General features: G+C 36.8%; 1 protein-coding gene across 4 annotated transcripts in view; it reads right to left on the minus strand.

Moving 5' to 3' along the window:
• Nucleotides 1,587-19,883, minus strand: part of TRIP11 (thyroid hormone receptor interactor 11) — a 74,069-nt gene continuing 55,772 nt past the window's right edge. For 3 of the 4 annotated variants that reach the window (NM_001321851.1, NM_004239.4, XM_047431935.1), the window contains 5 exons: nt 11,704-11,785; nt 10,768-10,882; nt 10,223-10,339; nt 8,313-8,457; nt 1,587-5,489 (listed from right to left, as the gene is read on the minus strand). In NM_001321851.1, the coding sequence (NP_001308780.1) occupies nt 5,269-5,489; nt 8,313-8,457; nt 10,223-10,339; nt 10,768-10,882; nt 11,704-11,785 (680 nt within the window). In that variant the 3' untranslated portion in view covers nt 1,587-5,268. Of the gene's footprint in view, nt 5,490-8,312; nt 8,458-10,222; nt 10,340-10,767; nt 10,883-11,703; nt 11,786-12,721; nt 12,845-19,883 lie in introns of those variants that run through there. The other variant, XR_943560.3, reaches the window with a different exon arrangement.

Genomic DNA, 19,883 nt, shown 5'->3' on the forward strand with positions numbered 1-19,883 from the left:
ACCACTCCCCCTCCTCCCATCGGTCTGCCAGGCCCAACTCAGGGCCCCTAGTGCTTGGCATGAGCCCCCCCAAGCATTTCTCGTACTTCTTTAGTCATCTGGACATGTGTCTGTCTCTCCCTCCTGTGAATTTCTCAAGCCCCAAGCCCTACTCCCCTTGTTTTTAGCAGATAAGCTCCCCTTCAACTGCAGAGAAAAATTCCCGCAACTTCTCCCACCCAAATCCCCCCACATCTACATCTCCCCTCTCTTCCATAGTGCCAGCCCCAATAAAGGGGTCCTTCCCATCTAAGGCCAATCCCTTCAAAACTGTGCTCCGATCCTGTTTCCCTTTCTCAGGAACTCTTCTCTGTATACTCTCTTCAGCCTCTCCATCTAATCATGTCCTCACCATAAGAATTTACCATAAGCTCAAGTCTCTAAGCTTCAAACAACTCTCCTTCCACCCCCACTTGCCTCTCCTACTCATGCCCTCTTCCCCCTCTGCAATCTGGTTTCTCAGCAGAGTTGCCTACAAACACTATCTCCACTTGCTCCCTGCCCACTCAACAATGAGGCTTTGTTCCTACCACTGCATCTACACGGATCTAGTCAAAGGCAACAACCACCTTCTGGTCCTCGAGTCCGTACAGTCTTCTTAAAACTTACCTCTCCAGCCCTCGCAGCAGCAGGCACTTCATGCATTGACCTCTCCTTACCTTTTGGAAAGAACTCTTGGCTTCAGTAACTCCCTGACATTCTTATCTACCCTTCGACAGTGATAAACTTTTAACATCTGCATAGAATTTTGGACTTTAGAAGGCATTTCTGTAAGTGGCACATTTATTCGTTAATAAACATTGCAAATGAATGTGTCATTTGATCCTAACAACCCCATGGGATTTACTAGGTAGGTGTCAGCTCATTGCAGAGACGAGAAAAATAAGACCCATAGTCAAGGTAATTCTGTGACAGGTCACACAGAAAGGGTCAAAATCAGTACTCGAATCATGCTGTCAACTTTAAAAGCCATGATCCCTCCAGTATTGCCATCATATGAGCCACTAGAAGCACTCAAGATCCGCATCTAAGAAAAAATGAAGACATACTGATTATCTTGCAAAAGGACCAGAGGCCAATGATGTACAATACCCTCTGAAGGAAAAAAAAAAAAAAAGGCTGGTTAAAACCGCTCAGATCCTCTTTTTTTTCATCTTTTTTTTGGGATAAAGAGTCTCCCTCTATCACCCAGGCTGGAGTGCAATGGCGCGATCTCGGCTTAATGCAACCCCCACCTCCCAGGTTCAAGCAATGCTTCTACCTCAGCCTCCCGAGTAGCTGGGATTACAGGCACGTGCCACCACGCCTGGCTAATTTTTGTATTTTTGTAGAGACGAGGTTATGCTTGAGATTATGTATGAAAATCTTCTTTTCATATTCATACATAATCTCAAGCATCTTTTAAATTGTTCATGCTTAAAATTTCCAAGGCTCAAATAGTATCCTAATAGCAGACATCCGGTGAATAAAGACAGTAGCTTCAGTAGTTAATCAACTACTGCTACAAACAACATGTGTAAATCATTTCTAAAGAAAAAGTCAGCAGCTGTTTGCTAAAAATTTTTTTTATTGTGACTGAAGACATTGCCAACTTACATATATCATTTTTATTTGGAGTATTTTTTTGCCTTGCAGTGCTCCTGAGAAATTCAAAAATGCATTAACTTTAGCTCTATAAATAACACAACCTAATATTAAGGTTGCGTTGGAAATTTCCCACGTTTAGATATTTCCCTAAAAATCAAAAGACAATTTAAATTGTTTTACATAGAGAAACCTTAATAAGTATTTAACTTTTTAATAAGTTAAAAAGTAAAGACTGGCAAATAATCACAAATGTCAGAACATTAAAGTAGCATTTTTTCCATAGGAATATATAAAATAAATATCATCTATACTTACTTGATATTTACAAAACTTAAAGATAAATTTTTGTGGATGGAAGATGTCTTGAATACTTCAATATGTGGAAAACTTCATTATCTTTAAATATCAGGTCCAAATGCTTTTAAGTTTGATGGATAATAGTGTTTTCTAAAAAATTCTCATCACTCTACTGTCCCTGAAGACATAGCTTTTCCCCCCATTGATTGGATAAGTATTTTGATAGTTTCTGTACTCTTTTCAATTAACCATTAAGAGGTTAAAAGAAACCTAAGGCTTTATTTGGGGAGATACTGGACGTTTTAATTGACTAGTTGGAAAGAAGCCATTCTTTTCCTAGGGTTTTGTTGTTTAGTTTTGTTTCATTTTTTAAAAATCAAAAATGACAGGAATGAAAATTCAAACAATTTGATCCAGTATTATGCTAAAATTAAATTCAGTAGTTAGATGAATTTTCTACTACAGTATAGAGGTTGAAAACCATTAGGAATGTGGTAAAAAACTATGGCAGCGAAGGTGGAATTCAACCACAAATTCTACTGAGTGGATAGAGAAATAAACAGAAAAATTACTGTAGTTAAAATATTGCAGTTAAACGCACTGTTAGCAATGTCCTATTGCCAACATTAGAATTATATGCTTCATCACTGGTTACTAAGACGGTTCAGTGAGCAGGTGGTTCATCTCTGACACAACTAAGTTTCAGAAAAGTCAATGACTTATATCTGGTTTAGATCAACGAACACTTAGTATACATACCAGTCAGCTATAGTTTCAATGACACAATGAAAACATTAGGTACTATAGCTTTTTTTTTTTTTTTTTTTTTTTTGAGACAGAGTCTCGCTCTGTCGCTCAGGCTGGAGTGCAGTGGAGTGGTTGCTAACTGCAACCTCCACTTCCCGGGGTCAAGCAATTCTCCTGCCTCAGCCTCCTGAGTAGCTGGGATTATAGGCGCCTGCCACCATGCCCAGCTAATTTTTGTATTTTTAGTAGAGATGGGGTTTCACCATGTTGGCCAGGCTGGTCTTGAACTCCTGACCTCAGGTGATCCACCCACCTCACCCTCCCAAAGTTCTGGGATTACAGGCGTGAGCCACTGTGCCCGGCCAGTATTATAGCTTTAGGACAAGGTCACATATTTATTTAAATAGCAGCCATTTAATATCATGCTCTGTGATGTTTAGCTATGCAATCCACCCACAACAGCTTTTAAACTTACGTTAAACCATGGGATGAGAGGCGGACAAGTTGTTTTGGTCAGAGAAGGAAATACTCAAAAATGTCACAAAAGGCATTTCAAATATGATGACATACTACTTAAATACCAACCATGCATCTCTTTTTCAAATTAAAAGAGAAAACTTTTTACATATTCTATTTCTTAAAAATAAAGGACCATGTGTCTTTTTTAACTTAGAAACTAGTATTTCATTTCTCCACACTGAAATGAAATTTCAATGGCAAGCAGCAAATAATGTAGGATAGTCAGTGAAAGTATCTTTGTTAGGAGCATATAAAAACCAAGGAGTAACAACTCACAGAGAAATAATAATAGGCAAAAACCAAGAGGCAGTTTGACAGTTCTAATATAGAACTTGCATGACAACTTCCTTTAAAGTATAGTAAATAAAGAATGGCAATATAAATTAGTTATCTAAGGAGATACAAGACATTCTGAAGCAGCATTTTCAGTTACTTCATTTTTCAGAAAAACAAGTTTCACCCATCAACATGGAATTAAGACTTCCAGTCTTCCAAATACATTAGAAAGTACAGTTAATCACAGTAAAACTTGCAAATAACCAAATTTAGTTCTGGCCTCAGCCAGGACTATTCACATATTTGAATTTGTTTTATTTTCATCCTTCCTTGTTATACAAATGTTTCTATTTTAAAAGCATATAGAAATTTACAAAATTTGCAAGAAATATCTTTTTAAATGTACAACTTCAACAACTAATAAAAATATGAACATCCAGATACAGTTAAGTTTCAAGTCGGGATTTTTTTTTTATGATGGGTTTATGAAAAATTAAAGAAATACTTTCTTAAGTTTCAAACATCTGGGTACTGGTGCTATCAAAGTGATTTCACTGCCCTCAGTGGCCACCGTGATAACAGTTGACTCTCGGATTGCTGTACCTCATATGTCAACACCGCAGACGGAGGCAGGAAGTGGCATGTTCAGTGATTTTGCTAATTATACTTACGTAGATGCAGCTGTATGGTTTAATGCTTATATGAAAGTTGCATGAATTTGTGTAACATTTAGTTTTAAGATGGTATCTTTAAATAGATACCTTAGCTGTTAAAACTAAGTGATATATCTGCACTATATGCTCAACAATAAAAAGGAACAAACTAGTGATACATCCAAAGCCTTGGATGGATCTCAAGGGAATTATGCTGAGTGAAAAAAAGCCAGTCTCAAGAGGGTATATATTGATTCCATTTATATAACATTCTCAAAATAACAAAATGACTGAGATGGAGAACAGTAAGTGGTTGTCAGGGATTAAGGAGAGGGCCAGGGAGAGAGGTGGCAATGATTATGAGAGGGCAACACAGGGGGATGCTTGTAATGGAAGTCTTCCGTGTCTTGCCTGTGGTGGTAGTCACATGAATTTACACACAGGGCCAGGCGCAGTGGCTCATGCCTTAATCCCAGCACTTTGGGAGGCTGAGGTGGGAGGATCACTTGAGCCCAGGAGTTTGAGGCCAGCCTGGCAACATAGTGAGACCCCATCTCTATTTAAAACAAACAAAAAAAGAATCTACACACATGATAATATTGCACAGGACCAAATACATACTTCACCTCAGGGAACCTATGACCTTCCAGCAACAATCTTGTTGGCCTGTCTCCACAAAGTCCTCTAAAGATGATCAATATATGCTTCAAATCAACTTTCTGCACTATGCAGAGAAGCCACTACTAGTATTTTTTTATTCTTCGTTTAAAAAAAAAAAACACTCTCTTGATAAACCACAATCTCTAGCTTAAATGAGCTTGGAAATCACAAAAGGAAATAAAAAGCTGCCATATAGCTACTAGTATTTTTGTCTGTCTGTATTTTTGTAAATTAAGGTAAAAGATAAATTAAATGTTCCTAGCTTAAATTAGGTCAAATCAGAAGGAATAAAGCAGATTATATAGCAAACACTTGCTCCTGACACCTGCAGTTTCTAAAAGCATTAGGAATATTTTTATTAAATTCAGAGAAAGCATAATTGCGAACAAATACATGACTTTCTCCCCAAAGGCCACTTTGTGATAAAGTACATACATATAGTGTTCATGGTTTCTTTAAAGTGCTAGATTGTCTCTGGCTTGAGAATCATCTATTGCTTTAAAAGGTCTTTCAGCACAACCCCAGCACTGTTGTCAGGTAACGCTGGCAAAGGTGTAAATGTGGGCAAAACATCTGAGATGGGTTTCAGAAGAAGATGCCCGGGCCCACCAGGTCCAAGTCCAGCTGGGTTAATAAGAGGTACAGCTGCCGAGCGAGGAGCCAAAAACGGATTTACATCTGTTCTTCTACCAGACCTGGATTCTGCTGTATCTAAAGAATAAAATATGGATTTAGTCTCCTATCTTTCACAAAGAAGTCAAAATGAAATAACTCTGAATGTAATAGCATAAAGTTATCTGTGTAATATTGTTAAATTGATTAGCATAGATAAATAAAAATAATCAATGTATCACTTATCAACTTAAAAATTCTCCCTTGACGGTAATAACACTGGCATCCAGCACATCTTTTTGGACTGGTCTTTATTCAAAATGAAAACGCAGCCAGGCGCGGTGGCTCATGCCTGTAACCCCAGCACTTTGGGAGGCTGAGGTGGGCGGATCACCTGAGGTCAGGAGTTTGAGACCAGCCTGGCCAACATGGTGAAACGCCGTCTCTACTAAAAACACAAAATAAAAAATTAGCTGGGCATGGTGGCGGGCGCCTGTAATCCCAGCTACTTGGGAGGCTGAGGCTGGAGAATCACTTGAACCTAGGAGGTGGAGGTTGCAGTGACTGGAGATCGCACCACTGCACTCCAGCCTGGGTGGCAAGAGCAAAGCTCCATCTCAAAAACAAAAAATTAAAATTAAAAAAAAAAATGAAAGCACAAACAGGCCTCAATTCCTAAACACAAATACTAATTTGTATGGCTAAAATCTGACTAATGTTCACTCTTGGTAATTCAAAACATTTTCTGATAAAAAAACAATGCTATACATGTGTTTTAAGTTCCCAGATTTGGCCCCCAAGTAAATTTAATTCATATGCTGCGGGGTTCTGGATCCCACAAGCAAGGTCTATGAAATACAGGAGGATGAAAGAGGATAAGGAATAAGAGGAACGAATAGGGAAAGAAAAGGCAAGAGAAGAATATTTGTATGCTTATCTAATACCTTATTAAACACATTACAGCTCTTGTTTTATACTTAAATACCAGTTATGTAACTGATGAACTTCATTTACCATAACAACAGCTTTTTAAATGGTGTCATCTATGTTGCAAGGCAAACTCTTTACTTACCCATCTGAATAATGAAAGGCTTAAGGAGTTACGTTCTCCCCAAATAATTACAATAAAGAAAAACAAACCCATATTACAATGATAACAGTTGAATTAATATTTGCCAGAAGAAAAAACAATATATACATACCTTACCTGATCATCTTTTAGGCAGTCAAAGGTTTGAAAACAATCTTGATTAGATTATTTTTCTATGAAGTTGGGCTAATACAATTCCTTTTTATTGGAATAGGTAAATTCCTAATGTCTTAGTGGACAGATTCTGCTTTAATGCCCAAGACCTCTGACAACTTCAATGGTAACAGACAAGCAATCCTTTGAAGGTGCCTACTTCAGCAATGGGAAACTCAAATAAAAAAGACCTCCTAAAGCAAAGAAAGCACTAAGACAAATTTGTCAAATCTGCTTATCATTGAGCACTCTTAGGGTTCCCAAGCCGTACTTTCCTATGAATGACAACTTTCCGAACTCTGGGCAAGCTTCTGGTGTTACCTAGTGAGCTCTGACACACTTCCAAATTCAAGATTAAAGATTAAGCTTGCTTTGTTCATGCAAAGCCTATATCAACCCAAGCCATCACCAGCTTTTGTATCCTATCAATACAAATCAGGCTGGGCACTGGACTTGATACAAGAAAGGGGAAAGGTAGGAAAGAGGAAGAAAAGTGAGAGAAAAGAAGGGGAAAGGAGGGAGAGGGAGGGAGAATAAAGAAGGAGAAGGGAAGAAAAGGGAAAGGAAGGGTGGGAAAAGAAGGGGAAGGGAAGAGAGGAAGGGAAAGAGCCTGCCATAATGAATTTGGGAATCTGTTTCAAGATGCTACAACCTAGTGTAAAAGAAAAACTGTTTTCAGTATAGCCTACACCTCTTAGATAAAGTTATGACTTTTCACAAAATTTAGCAGGCAAAACTACTTACTACCTAAAGGACTGATAAATTTTACTACTTTCCCTTCCTATACAAGTTCAGAAAAATAGAAATATTTGTCTAAACGACAGAAGTTTCAAAAATTTCAGAATATAAATTCTTTATTATTTTATCCAAATTTAAGCATCTGATGTGTGATATGAGTATATAACATATACCTTTACAGTCCAATTAGTAAACATATTAGTCTATTAAAATATGAAGATTTCAGAAGAGCTCTTCCAATAAAGAATTTGTTTATAGTCCAACAGATTATAATTCAATTTCAATTGATAAATTTTCTTGCGTGCCAGTATATATGATATGAACATAAATAAAACCCTTACAATTTAGTGAGACAGAAAAATATGTACACGTTAACCACCACCAACCGTCCGCTCTAGGCAGATCTTTCAACATAAAAGAGTGCTTTCTACATTCTTGGAGTCTCAAGTCAGTTTGTTAAACTGCGCTTATATATATTAACATGCCAATGTTTGGTTACTGAGTGTAGCACTTAAATTTTCAAAGGAGAAAAACCCTTCTCAAACTATAAACTACACATCTAACTCGGATTAGCAAGAACCACCATTAGTGAGAAAGCAAAGCAGGTGGCCAAGAAAGATGTAACCAATTCCCCATCACTTCCAGAGGAATAATTCATAGCTGGTTAGGCAGACAGAGAAGAATTATTCTGATATACAAAGGGAATATATTTCTTACCATTTAAATTAATCTAAGTCAATTAAATATCAGATTGCTACAAGAATATATGAAGCAAAAGCCTGATGCCTTATTGGAAAAGCCTGATGCCTTATTGGAATTCTGGAAGTCCTGATTACACATTTCCAAAAATACTAAAAATTTAGTTAATATCACTGTGAAACATAATCATACATTAAACATTCAATTTTCAAATTATAGAAAAATTAAATCTCTAGTTTTACCTTTAAAACTTTCTGGTGCATTTGTATCTCTTTTTCTTCTTCCTGGTGAATCCAGAGGTTTCATATCATGAACAGAAAGCTTTGGTGGTGGAATGGATGGATGAGATTCTGTTTCTAGAAATTTAACAAAAAGTTCTGAAAAAGACTAAGAAAAAATATTTTGGTTATATTAGGCTAGATAATTAAGTTATATTCACTACAACTAAGGAAATGTACCAGCTTTTCTAATTAAATATTAAAAATTAATCATGCCACTTGAATAATTTTTTTTTACAAATCAGCTTTATGAACAATTGAAAATACTGGCACTTTTTTTTTTTTTTTTTTGAGACGGTGTCTTGCTCTGTCGCCCAGGCTGGAGTGCAATGGCACTATCTCGGCTCACTGCAACCTCCGCCTCCCAGGTTCAAGTGATTCTCCTGCCTCAGCCATCTAAGTAGCTAGGATTACAGGTGCACGCCACCACGCCCGGCTAATTTTTGCATTTTTAGCAGAGACGGGGTTTCACCATGTTGGTTAGGCTGGTCTCAAACTCCTGACCCTGTGATCCGCCCACCTCGGCCTCCCAAAGTGCGGGGATTACAGGCGTGAGCCACCACACCTGGCCTAAAATACTAGCACTTTAGATAGATGATCATCATTACAAAAATTTAACAATTTAATCAATAGTCTGATGGTAACACTCACTTCTAACACCTCATGGTCAGAATTAGCCAACTGATAATACTTATTTTTCTTGCCATCAATGAATAGCACTTAATGAATCTGATCATTTTAATAACTATTAACACAAACATAAAAAATTATATGAAAGGAAAACACACATTAGACATAATTTTCTAGTCAGGTCTAACCAATGAATATAATAACAAAAGATCACAAATAACATTGTCAGATTAAAATAATGTAGTGTAGACCTTTCCTTTAAATTAAATTTTATGCCAGCCAAGTAAAATAGGGTTTTATCTTTAACCAGCTCTGGGTAAATCACCTATCCTTCGTGTCCTCTTTATTAAAAAACTAAGAGAGGCCGGGCACAGTGGCTCACGCCTGTAACCCCAGTGCTTTGGGAGGCTGAGGTGGGCGGACCACGAGGTCAGGAGTTCAAGACCAGCCTGGCCAACATGGTGAAACCCAGTCTCCACTAAAAATACAAAAACTAGCTGGGCGTGGTGGTGGTGGGCGCCTGTTATCCCAGCTACTCGGGAGACTGAGGCAGGAGAACTGCCTGAACCCAGGAGGCTGAGGCTGCAGTGAGCCAAGATCGCACCACTGCACTCCAGCCTGGGCGACAGAGCGAGACTCTGTCTCAAAAAACAAAACAAAACAAAAGCTAAGAGAAAGAAACTCCACATTCTAACTGATACTACTACTCAATTCAATTAATATTCATCTAGAGCCTACAACATACCAGGCACTGTGTTTTCATGTTTATTAACTGCTTCCTCCTTCGAGAATCTAAGTTTTATGAGGGCAGGCGCCGTTTCTATCCAGTTTGCAGCTGCATCCTCAATGCTTAGAACAGTCTAGTTCACAGCAGGTACTCAGTAAGTATTCACTGGCTCAACGATTTGGAACATACATAGACGAATAAAATAAATCCTCTATCTTGCTACTATAATTTAGTAGCAAGACTGCCTATGGCAGCATGATCAAGTACAAAGGAAAAGTTAATATTTTGAAAAATAAAAGCACCATATAGAGTTAAAATAAAACCTATATGCAATAAAGTTATGAAAACTGGCTTGTTATCCTTAAGCTTAATCACCTCTCTGGAACTCAGTTTCTGCAACTTCAAAATAAAAGGGTTGTATAAAATAATTTTAAAAAAAAATCTGATTCTTTGCAAATGAATGTAATATACAGTCATTTTACTATTCACCTTAAGCAAGAATAAAATTGTTTCTTACACTATTAACCACAGATTGCTGATTTGGTCTCAAAGGTGTGTTGGGAACACTTTTTGATCCTCCTCCAAGCCACCCAGTCATCCACCTGGTAACACCGCCCTGATCGTCATGAAACAACTGAAAGATTATTTTAAAACAGACAAATATTATCAGTACAAGAAAAAAAAAAAAACAAGGACCACTTTTATATAATTTCTGATAGTTGTAAAGCATGCTTTTCAAGTTCAAGTCCTAGTAAATGTTTCCTACTGATAGAGTCTACAAATACAATAAAATGCCATCCCAAGCACCATCTCAAATGAAAGTCTGGGGATATTTCAACATTTCAGCATCCTGATATGAGTAGTTTGTAAGTTACAAAACATTTAAACTAATATCATACATATTGAACAAATCTGCCTCTTCAATGTTGTATGAAGTAATTCCATTTCCACACTGAGAAAATTACACTCAGTAAAAGTTACATACAGTAAAAGGAAGTAATTGTCTACAAAGCCACTATCTGGATTATGAATGTGTTCAGATGGCTTTCATCGTCCAGTCACCTGCTCCATCTCCTCCCTTCTGACGCCCAGGATGCTCCCCATTAACCGTAACACTTCATGACGCTGATTTTTCGGTGTGTGGAAATGACCAATGAAGAGGTTTCTCATTAGGACTCTATGAAAATAAAGGCAGAAACAGCTCAAGTGAACTCAACATTAAGTACACTCAAACACTAAGCATAGAAATATTTAATTATATTAAACAATTAAATATTTACTTATAAAAAAGTCTAAACAAAATATTTTAAAGTGTCTTTAAAAAATCTTGACAAGTCTAATATTTCAAAAAAAATAAAATAAAAAAGAATATTTCAAACATCCCAAAATGTGTATCTTTTAAAATCTCACTTACTAGCCACCCACTTTATTCAACCCAGTTACTGACCGAGGTGGCGCCTCCTTAGTAATTCCAAGCTCCTGACTGGGCTAATGTTCACCTGAAGCAGAAACTTAAATGGTGATGACTGTTGTGTTTAATGTTATGCTTATATTTCCCCATCCAAATGTATTAAAAATTTACTAATAATATATACATTTAAAAAATATTAAATGAGCTACTGTTGCATATATACTGAGGTTTCAGATCTAATACATTTGAGCAAGATTATGTTCATTTAAGGACAGTAAAAGAAGCAAAAAAGAATGGTAAAAATAAATTTTTTATTTTCTAAGTACTTCTTACTGAGGTGATATTTTAGCTCTTCTATATGGTTTTAAGAAAAAGAATGAGCTGGAAAAAAATCCACATTAAAAATAAAAGAAGGTAAGTGATTCTGCTGACTCCTCATTAAAGCTGCATCCTTCCTCACTAAGAGTGAGGGGAAAAAAGGCTTTTGAAAAATTTAATCACATATAAACATCTACATTTAGAAGTTTTTTTTTAACCATAAAAGTGATTTCCACAAAATATACAAACATTAAAAGCAAAAAGCATACTTGTCTACTTTTCCTTCTGAGCTGTTTGCTAAGCTCATCAATTTCTTTTGTACATCATCCAGCATTTCTTGTCGGAGCTCATCTGTTGTAAAATATGTGAATAAAGATAGCCATTAACTGATTAAAATAGTCTGGATGACTATATAATGAAATTTATGAGATCTTTATTATAACCTCTGAATATATACACTTATTCTAATTGGGAATATTCAATAACTTCTATCTCTTCTTTGGTCCAGGGAACTAGGCTCTCATATAGAAATCCTCTAAAAGCCAGAGTGCATTAATTCACATGGTTTACTCCCAAGAAAGTAATCAACTTTGTAATACAATACTGAAAAACCAAGAAACGTTTTCATCCTCTTTAAAAACTTAATAGCAAAGAAGAGATTTTCATCACTGCCTCCTTGCATGAAACATTTCCAGAGCCACTCTTATTAACAGGAGGAAGTAGAAAGGACTTTAATATTTTCCTTTTTCTATTTTCCTGGCCAGACTCTGTTTTTGGTGAGCTGACTAAGAAGCGTATCTAACACAACTAAGACCATGGCTCAGGATGCAGTGGATAGGACAAACTATTATGGGGGTAAGGAAATTGCAAAATATAATTCAGGTAATCGGCTCTAATATACAAATCAAGATACTATAGCTTATGACTGACTTAGAAGGATGCCTGGACTATTTTATTTTTAAATTATTATTTAAAAAGGAAGCAAAATCCATAAAATCTTGGTGGAATAGTTGGAATTTAAGCAGTATTAAAGGCAAAGTCTAGAATTACAACAGGAGATACCCTGTTCCTAAATTCAGCCATGCCACAGGGCAAGGATTTCTGGACTAAGGAACTCTCAGTCAAACAGAGTTTACACCTGTTCTGTTATGCCAGAAACGAATAGTTTGAGCTGAAAGAGATGCTCAGTAATTTTAAGCTAGATTATAAGTTTTTGTTCTGAAAGAAATAAAGAGGAGAGCTCTATCTAGAAACATTCACATCCAAACGCTAGACTCTGCCACAAACCTTTTCCTTTGAATTATGCTGCATTTTCCTAGTAGTAGCTGGATACAAGTTCCGTTATCAGATATGATTTACAAACATGTTTTCCCCATTCTGTGAGTTGTCATCTCACTTTCTTGATGATATCTTTTGAAACACAAAAGTTTTCAATTTTTATGAAGTCCAATGTACTTTTTCTTTTGTTGCTTGTGCTTTTGGTTTCATATCTAAGAAACTATACCTAACCCAACACCTGTTTTAAGCGTTTTATAGTTTTAATTCTAAAATTTAGGTCTACCAGCCATTTTGAGTTAATTTTTGTGCATGGTGTGAGGTAGGGGTCCAACTTCATTCTTTTGCACATGGATATCCACTTGTTCCAGCATTATATGGTGAAGAAACTATTCTTTTGGCAACCTTGTTGGAAATCAATTGACCATAAATGTATGGTATATTTCTAGACTCTAAATTCCCACTGTAAGAATTCTGCAAATGTTTTGTCATTCTTTTCTTTTTTTTTTTTTCCTGCCTGGAAAGCTCTTTTCCATCAGGACTGCCCTCACCTTTCATGTCTCTGTTTCCAACTCACTTTCTTAAAGAATTTTCCTTTGAGCCTTACAGATTAGGCCAGGTCTGTTTGCTTTATGTTTTCATTCTGCTCTGTACAATGCTTCTGCACAATGCCCAAAATTCCGATTTATGGTACTAAATTCGTATATAAAATGTCTCGTTTAACTGTTTACGATGGCTTGTGGTTTTCCTAAATTGCAAAAATCTAACTTGCAAAATGTCATTCATATAATAGGCCAATTTTACCAAAATAGAGATGGTTGCCATAACCATATTATAAAAGCAAGGTTTGTATTTGGAAAATCTACTACGAACTTTTCCTTTCCTGTCTTTCCAGTAAGGAATTTAAACTTGGACGAGAGAGGGAGAGAGAGAAGGGGAGAGAGAGGGCGAAAAGGTGGGGGTGGACAGGACTATTATTAAAGTCTGAGTCAGTAAAAGACACTTTAGATTCCTAATGTGCACATGTATACTACTAGCACATGGTGTTATCTGGGCCTTTTCTAGCACTATATTCTGAATGTAAATAGAACTCAGCAAATAAGTTAATCTCTCGTCACTGTTTTGACTTAACCGTCCCACTCACAAACTAAAGTAGGAGACAGAGTAAAGATGGGCATGGTCTTCTCCTCCTTCCTCCTCCATTCCTCCCCAAGGCTACAGAAAGATAGCAGAAAAACAGAGGTCAAGCTTAGCTAACCTACCTCCAACCCCCACCTTCCCTTTCCCTGAGACTTCCCTTCTCCTACCTACTTTCCTCTAAAATTAGTAATTTGTATATTGATTACATGTCTATATAATAATTTGGTTATACTGGGTTATATATAAAATATATATGTGTGTATATATATTTGAGACAGGGTCTTGCTCTGTTGCCCAGGCTGTGGCATGATCACAGCTCACTGCAGCCTCAAACTCCTGGGGTCAAGCCATCCTCCTGCCTCAGCCTCAGGAAATAGTTGAGATTACCAGTGTGCACCACCACAACCAGCTAATTTCTAATTTTTTGTAGAGATGGGGTCTCACGATATTGCCTGGGCTGATCTCAAACTCCTGCGTTCAAGTAATTCTCCTGCCATAGCCTTCCAAAATGTTGGGATTACAAGTGTGAGCCACTGTGCCTGTCCCTATATAAAACATATTATCAAACAATTTCACCTATAGCTTTTTACTGTTTTAACATGGCCACTAAAAAATTTAAAATTGCACGTGGCTCACAGTATATTCCTACTGGACAGTACTGCTTTTAGAACATAACCAGGATATAACACTACTCTATACTATCTCTTATTTTAAAAAGAGAGGCTGGGCGCAGTGGCTCACGCTTGTAATCCCAGTGCTTTGCGAGGCCGAGGTAAGCATATTGCTTGAGCTCAGGAGTTTGAGACCAGCCTGGGCAACATAGCAGAACCCTGTCTCTACAAGAAATACAAAAATTAGTCGGGTGTGGCGGCATGAACCTGTAATTCCAGCTACTTAGGAGGCTGAGGCGGGAGGATCGCCTGAGCCCAGGAGGCAGATATTGCAGTGACCTCAGATTGTGCCACTGCACTCCGGCCTGGACAACAGAGCGAGACCCTGTCTCCAAAAAAAAAAAAAAAAGAGAGAGAGAGAGAGAAAGTGAAATGACAGACATCTTCAGAGTAAAATTCACAAAGCAGAGCTGAGCCTGATAAAAATTTTAGTAAAATAAAGTAGAAAATTTTAACTTTGCTCTATGAAAAACTGATCAAGAAATCAAACTGCGTAGAAGTCCAAATCAAAAATACTTTCTTGATGAAAACTTACTAAGATTGGTATGGTTTTTATTAAAGTCTCTGTATTCAGAAAGGTAGAGTCAAAACATCCTTAAGGCGAAAATGACAGGGTTAAAATTTCCTAAACTCACTATCAGAACATACAGTTTGTCCCTGAGCTAATGTGATGTGGAATGCAAAGGGCTGTTGCAAACTCAAGCAGTAGTTAGAATGTACTCTGATATTTGAGTCTAGGGGGAAAAACTCAGAATTTAAGGGACGGTGCTAGAAGGATGGTATTAACTATGAGGGGTTTGGAAAGGAAAAGAAAGTCAAACACCTACTACAAAGGTCCCTACAGATGCCTCTTTTTCTTCAAGCACCCTTATTTTCCTCCCATCAGAGATTCTGAATATTTCTCTACAAAAACTGAACCCTAATTCAAACCACAATTTGAAATCAGAACTGTATTTATATGGGCAGGGAAAATATGGTTATTCAGAAATGAGTTTTAAGCCAAATAAAATATTTCTGTGAAATAATCTCACATGCCAAAATAATTTTTTGGAAGTTAAAAAAAAAAAAAGGTGGAGGGGGGAACTTTAAAAGTTCAGCAATAAAGCAACTGAGATTTAGTCTAGTTTGGAGAAAGAGTTACTCTACATCTGTGACATAGTAAAACTTGCCATATCAGAGTCTCTTCTCTGGAACACCTAGACATGGTGCCATGGTCTTCAACATTTGGTTTAAAATAAAAATTGAACATAAAATGTAATTGATTGCAACAAATTGGCACATCATAATTTTACATTTCATTTGTAATTAATGACAGTACACTACAATGCTGCCTTCAGAGAACATCTTAAAATGAATCATACTACATCTTAAAATGAATCATACTGCTTACAAAGTCATTTGGATATTTCATGAGTAAGCTCCTGTAGGCAAGATCCAAGTCAGATTTACTGAACAGTCACCTGACTGAGAAAAAAAAGGAACACAGAACTTGAGAGTCAGAAGTGGATATGAATCATGGTCCTATCACCAGGGCCAGACTTTGTTGCCTATTTTGTAAAATGAACATGCTTATCTCAAAGAATTTGATAGAATCAACTGAATGATCAAATGTGACTTTTCTAAATAGTAAAGTGCTACATAAAGCATTAGTACTTATCATCCAATTTCTTAAAATAACTAAAAAGTTCATATTTCAATCTAGCCTGAATCAGTATCACATATATTACTCTGTTTAATGTTAATATTTTGTGAGGTTTTCCCCCCTCCATTTTGCATGTTTGTCATCTTTGAGGCCAAGGAGTCAACAGAAGGAAGAAAAAAATGTTAGAAAGATGATTTCACATACATATATATATGTCAATAAATAAATTGCATCTGGTGTCTTATCTGCATCTGGATACCTTAAAACTAAATTTAAATCTGATACAATATTAAACCTAATAAGGAAATTTAACCTCTTCATTTAATTAAATATAATCAAAGCAAAAGCTAGAAATTAGATCTTTTTTATTACAGAATTTCAAGTTATACAAGATCACTTTTAACATCAAATTTTATATGTATATTATATATATATATATATATATATTTTTTTTTTTTTTTTTTTTTTTTGAGACAGAGTCTTACTCTGTCACCCAGACTGGAGTACAGTGGCGCCCCAGCTCACTGCAACCTCCACCTCCCAGGTTCAAGCAATTCTCCTGCCTCGGTCTCGCGAGTAGCTGGGATAACAAGCGCCTGCCACCACGCCTGGCTAATTTTTGTATTTTTAGTAGAGACGGGGTTTCTCCATGTTGGCCAGGCTGGTCTTGAACTCCTGACCTCAAGTGATCCACCCACCTCAGCCTCCCAAAGTGCTGGGATTACGAGTGTGAACCACCGCACCCGGCCCAAATAATATATTTTTAAAAGATATTATACTATTTGCAATTTGAGGTTAAGCTTTACAAGCATCTGTTTTGTCTTTTTTGTTGTTGTTTTTTTAGACAGAGTCTCGCTCTGTCACCCAGGCTGTAGTGCAGTGGCACACCCTCTGCTCACTGCAACCTCTGCCTCCCAAGGTTCAAGCGTTTCTTGCACCTCAGCCTGCTGAGTAGCTGGGATCACAGGCATGTGCCACCACACCTGGCCAATTTTTTTGTATTTTTAGTAGAGACAGGCTTTCACCATGTTGGCCAAGCTGGTCTCCAACTCCTGACCTCAAGTGATCCATCTGCCTCAGCCTCCCAAAGTGCTGGGATTACAGGCATGGGCCACCGTGCCCAGCCCTGCTTTGTCTTTTAACTCAATTATTTTCAACTGTATCCAACACAGAATTTGAAGGTCTAGAGTATATGGTAAATGTTTTGTTGTCCCATAATCATAATTGTTCACTGCTGAGTGAAAAGTATCTTTTAAAATTCTAGGCCAGGCCCAGTTGCTCATGCCTCTTGTAATCCTAGCACTTTGGGAAGCCAAGGCAGAAGGATCATTTGATGCCAGGAGTTCAAGACCAGCCTGAGCAACATAGACAAACCGTCTCCACAAAAAAAAAAAAATAAGATCCTGCCTCTTAAAAATAAAAATAAACTTCTACTTCTTAGCAATGAACTCACAGGAAAAGAATTATATTAATACAGTATAACTTCATTAATCTGAATTCCACTAGATCAGAATCTGTGATTGGTTGAGGTCTACTGGATTATTTGTAGACCAAATTTGGATTATTCACCAGAGTTACTATGTACACTTGATTTTATATAAATATTTTTAATATAACCAAATCAAATTTATTTTTCCTCACCATTCTCTTCCTTTAACCCTTTATTATGAATTCAGATAATCTGAACTATATTTCTCCATATTGAAACAGAACTAATTTTTTAAAAAGAGTAAATATTATGAGTGGTTATATACTTGTTACTCCTCTGGCATGTGAGACAGAATATATATTTAATTTTAAAAGTGTTACAAACTTTCTTACTTTCAGGCGGGAGCCACACATTGGGTACATACGGACATAAAGATGGGAACAGCAGACACTGGAGATACCAGAGGGGGAAAAGGGAGAGGGGGAGAAGGGCTGAAAAACAACCTAATGGGTACTATGCTCACTACCTGAGTGACAAGATCATTTGTACCCCAAACCTCAGTGTCAAGCAGTAATAAACCTATACAAGTAACCCTGTACAGGTACCCTTGAATCCACAAGTTGAAATTAATTTTTTAATGAGATATTTCATGAAAAAATTGCAGATATCCAGGGTCTCTTCAAAGATCTGAAGACATGGCAACACTGGGCCCACATTCCTGCATGGCAGCAGCTGGGCGGAGCTGAGAATCTGCTGCCTCCATAAGAAACACTTCAAATGATCAGTCTTTACCTAGTTTCATGTGCTCTTTTATATTATCATCATAGCCTCAGTTTACAATTTGTGTTTGTGATCCATACTAAGAGATTCTTATTTCCACACGGCAACCCACTTCTACCTCCACCTTTTCAGCACTCCACTCCAACACATGCATGTGCACACATACCCACCACCCTTGGTCATTACTAGTCAACTGTATCTTCAGCCAGTTTCCAGATTATGACACACAGTTTCACAGGAATTCCTCCCTCTGTCTAGAACACTTTTCCCCAACTTTCTGCCTTCTTAGCTATACCTATTCACCATTCAAGTAATTTCAAGTGAGCCCTTCACTAACCTTGTCTACCCTTCCATGCTACCAACACCAAGTACAAAGGATAGCTCTTTCCTTTCTAAACCATTTGTTTCATGTATTTGATGCATGTCATCTTCCCTTCCTGCCTGACTGTAAACCTCCTGAAGGCAGGACCCTTGTCTCCTGTCTTTATTTATATCTTTAGTTCTACTGCAGTGCTTAGCACACAGCAAATAAACAATGAATATTTGAGAAGTAAGTCAAATAATGATTGATTTTCTCTGGGAAAAGAGAATATCTGCAAAGAACAGAACACTGGACAAAAAGAACAATTTATGTTCTGAATTATGAACTCATCCATACATAAAGAAATAAGGGCAAGGACACAAAACACATTAACTCAAAACATTCTTATTGCTATATCATTTACTTTTCCCTTTAAACTTAGAGGAATTTTTTTAAACTGCAATTTCTAAAATACAGTTCAGTTGAAAAAGGTTTAATTATTTACCTAATTGACATACACTTTTTTCTTAACTCATATTTTGGCATTGTCTAGTATACCCAGATGTTTATATCATCAAAATAATTTTTTAACCATTTATGGCAACTCAGAAAACTGCATCTGGTACTTCTTATATGTTTCCTCTAAAATCACCACTTCTGCCAAAAACATCTATAAAGAAATCTCTCAAAAGGTTTGGGTAACAAAGCGTCTGGGAATGTATTTGGCCTGTGTTCAACAGGACATTATATGTTTTCTTGTATAAATCATGTCCTGGAAAACGGAATGTCTTTATTTAAAATAAAAACTTTACCATCCAGCACCGTAAAGGTAGTTCCACGAAAAATATTTTAAGCTTCTTTTATATCTGTAGCTTTAAAACATGTTTTTATGCTTCATATTACAGTAAGTTTTACTGGGACTCATTTTATACATTCTTCTAGATTTTCTTTTAAAAAATGGTCCAAGGAAATTTTCCATTCTCAACTCTTAGGAGACTTTTAAAAGTAGTCATTCAACCTTCTTAAAAAAAAAATCAGTTATGCTGCCCTTTCAGATACAGGTATAAACTAGCAGACAGACCAAAAGATCTTCCTGATGTTAGAACTAAATTTGTATTGCTTATGAAAACTCACTTTTCTTTGCACACCATAAAATTCACCACCTTTCTGAATCATAGTTATCAAAATAACAATATCTTGTGCTTTTTATT

Source organism: Homo sapiens, chromosome 14 (assembly GCF_000001405.40).
Source record: "Homo sapiens chromosome 14, GRCh38.p14 Primary Assembly".
Lineage (NCBI taxonomy): Eukaryota > Metazoa > Chordata > Mammalia > Primates > Hominidae > Homo > Homo sapiens.